We start from the raw sequence: 3,491 nt of genomic DNA, 5'->3' as shown, positions 1-3,491 counted from the left end.
GTGACCATAGAATTATAAAATGTTGGATTTGGAAGCAGTGTGTGACATCATCCAGCCCTGTGGTTCTAACCTCTTTTGGTGGGGGTGGGGGAGGGTTATAGGATATTTCTGTAGGTCTTATGAAACCTGTGAATATTTTCCATTAGAAAACCACACAAGCAAATATATTTCCAATTTTGTAACATTTTAGCAGATCTAATGAGATAGATCCATTTATCACAGATAAAAAACCTTTGATCTAGTTGCCTTAGTTTATATTTAAGGAACCAGACTAAAAGATGTGGCCAAAGACATCCAGCTCCTGACTCCAGTCTATTCTTATTCTGCATGCCCTGGTCATTTCTGGGCTGGCCAGTAGCTAGTATTACACCTACCTCTGGTTGTTTTAATCAATCATCATATACGTATTGAAGTATAACATGGTATCTCTGCCTCTCCTGAGACAGTTGTGTAATAGCTCCCTGAGAGCTACTCTATGGCATTTGTATGTGAGGATACATCCAATCAATATTGCATAAAGTCTGTGACTGCCCTGCTTATTCTTCTAAAGAGCTAATGGTTAATCTTCTTTAACCTGAGAGGAAACAGTTATTTCAATCTGATTGCCAATTTGAGGATTGATTTGGTAATTTTGTACTTGATCACTGCTTTTGGAAGTGCTCCAACTGTTTGGAAGCACACTGAAAAGGGATTGTGATGAGTTATGTGCTGTTTCTAATGATGAAAGTGAGAAAGTGACCTGCTTCTCTATAATTATCATGTAAATCACATTATGTCTATTGCTAGGTCTCAGCAGTAGACTTCTAGTTTTCGCCAATATCTGGTTCTCCTTTCTCTTGGGTAATTGAGAGGATTAAACTTCCCATTCCTGTTAAAGTTAAGCAAGGAATGTAACTAATTCTGGTCGATGATTTCAAGTGGAAGTGATGTGGGCCACGTTCAGAGCAAATCATTTAAAATCTGAGTAATGGAAGAGTTTACTAAAGGGACTAGGCTGGAGTTTAAGTTTGCAAAGGTGTGGGCTATGTTTTAAGAAAGCAGCAGGATGGTGGTGTACTCTGGGGAGGTCTTACAGCACCTAAGCTTGAAAAGGCAAGGGAAGGGAGCAAGTACAAGAATGCAGAGAGTGGAAGAGATAGGGAGGCAGACAGTATGTGAGCAAGTGCTGGTCCTCCGTAGAGGGGTGCAGCCAGGCCACTGTGATTTCACAGGAAGTGAGTGGAGGAATAACGCCCTAAACTCACCCAGTTTCTGCCCTTGGATCTCCTGCTGGTGCATCCTATTGGTCAAATCGAATGAGAAGCCAGAAGACAAGATAGCTCATTTATGCATTCCAAACAGATCTGCCTCCTGCAACCAAAATCAGGGTGAAGAATGCTGGTGAGGGCCTCTCAAGAGGCAAAGGGGTATGTCCAGCATGGAAACTCTCCAGTACTCTTTTCCCCTTAGTGGCCATATGGATGCATGTTGAGTCAGAGAAAAGAGAGGTTCACAGCAGCCTAGGAGGCTGAGACATTGCCTTGGAGGACACCTGTTCTCCAAGGTTGCTGGATCCACAAATAACTTTGCATGAGCAGGAAATCAGTTTTGTTGTGTTAATCCAGTGTGATTTTGTTGTTCTTTGTACTTGACTTATAAGACAATTTCTTTGAAGTATCGCTTTATGGGAGAGGAATTTTGATTTTTCTCTTGTTTGTGTGCACAGGTAATGAGCCCTTCAACAGCTACATGGAAGAGTGGAAAGCATCTCCCACATTCCCTGTGGGTTTACTAAGTTTATTAATGCATAGAGGGATTTTGTTCCTGGCTCAGCCTAACCTATAGTCTCCAATAAGTCCTGTGGTTAACATTCCTGTTCATTCCTTTTAGAATCTTTCAGTATCTGAAGAATTAATGCCTTAAATGTACAGATGCTGTACATGATCAATAATTCAAATTTTGTCCAGTATCAGCTACATCACTATGCCATGGTCAATTTTTCGGAGTTATTGATCACTCTTTTTTATCCACTTAACCTCTGTTCTTTTGGGAGGGGGCAGCCCTCAGCATTTAAGGTCTACACAAATGGTGATGGCTATGCTAGGCCATTCTCCAACTTTGACATCACATTCTACGAGGGTAGCTTGTGTCTTACTGATGAGAGGGCTGTGCCTTGACTTAATCATGTGTGAGTTCTTCCCCTATGTTCATTCATTTTATATTCCTATTAGAGTCTTCTGAGTAAAATTCTGTATTTTCCAGACCTGTTGCTGGATCTACTGTGATGGAAAACTTTAAATCTGGAAAATGGATAGAAGGGGGAGAAGTCTAAAAATAAGAAGAAAGAGAAAAAGATTTAGCTAAAAGCCTTCAGTTTATTTTCATAATAGAGAGCTAGAAGGCAAAGAATGAGAAGAGAGAAAGGAAAGTTGGCCCTGGCTGGGTATGGAGGGGTATTTTTGGTGTTTGGGAGGCTCTTGAGAAGCTACAGAAGTGAGAGATTTGTAGAGGAGTCAAAGGGGGTTGAGAATTCTTTTTGTGTATTATGAATGAGCTCTGCTATGGTTTGGATATTTGTCCCCTCCAAACTTCATGTTGAAATTTTATCCCCAGTGTTGGAAGTGAGGCCTAATGGGATGTATTTGGGTCATAGAGGCAGACTCCTCATGAATAGATTAATGCCCTTCCTCTGGGGTGAATGAGTTCTTGCTTTATTCATTCCCTTGAGAGCTGGTTGCTGAAAAAAGCCTACTATCTCCCTCCCTCTTTCTCTTGCTTACTCTCATGGCATGTGATCTCTGCACACACCAGCTCCCCTTCCACCTTCCACCATGAGTGAAAGCGCCTGAGGGCTCCATGAGATATAGCTACCCAATCTTGAACTCTCCAGTCACCAGAATCATGAGCCAAATAAACCTCTTTTATTTATCAACTACCCCATCTCAGAAATTCTGTTATAGCTACAGTAAATAGACTAAGACAAGCTCTTTTATAAAGTTGAGCATCAAATAACATTGCAACCTCTTTTTAAATTGTTTTAAACCATTAGATTATGGTCTTATAAATTTAGACCTGCAGTGAGCCGCGATTGTGCCACTGCACTCCAGCCTGGGTGACAGAGCAAGACTCCGTCTCAAATAAATAAATAAATAAAAATTTAGACCTATGCAGAGATGGTACCACATGAAAATCTTGGATTTATTTGTATTAAAAGTTTGGTTTAAATGCTAGAATAGCTCTCCTTTCAAAATCAAGCATTTAGAAAACTTCATGTCCTACTTAACAGAAGAATAAAAAGCCAGCAGAAGGAAACTGCTTCAGTTTTCCTCCACCATATTGAAAATCTCACCTGCAGCCACCATGTCCATTCTTTCCTCACTCCATCCCATTACAGTGAAGACATGTTTTTTATTATTATCCATAACACATCCCCTAATCCCTGGGCTAGACCCATCCCAGCTCCCCAGGTACCTTGTGACACTAGTTATCCTCATGCTGACCTGAATTTTCAA

The 3,491-nt window shown here is 40.8% G+C and overlaps 1 protein-coding gene and 1 long non-coding RNA gene across 2 annotated transcripts in view; both read left to right on the top strand.

The window, feature by feature from the left end:
* TAS2R1 (taste 2 receptor member 1) overlaps positions 1–3,491 on the top strand; it is a 276,530-nt gene that overhangs the window by 152,512 nt on the left and 120,527 nt on the right. The gene's annotated exons all lie outside the window — the stretch shown is intronic.
* LINC02112 (long intergenic non-protein coding RNA 2112) overlaps positions 1–3,491 on the top strand; it is a 262,510-nt gene that overhangs the window by 152,460 nt on the left and 106,559 nt on the right. The gene's annotated exons all lie outside the window — the stretch shown is intronic.

Source organism: Homo sapiens, chromosome 5 (genome assembly GCF_000001405.40).
Source record: "Homo sapiens chromosome 5, GRCh38.p14 Primary Assembly".
In the NCBI taxonomy this organism is placed as follows: Eukaryota; Metazoa; Chordata; class Mammalia; order Primates; family Hominidae; genus Homo; species Homo sapiens.
The sequence above is the reverse complement of the archived record's forward strand: the minus strand, read 5'-3'. Positions and strand labels throughout refer to the sequence as shown.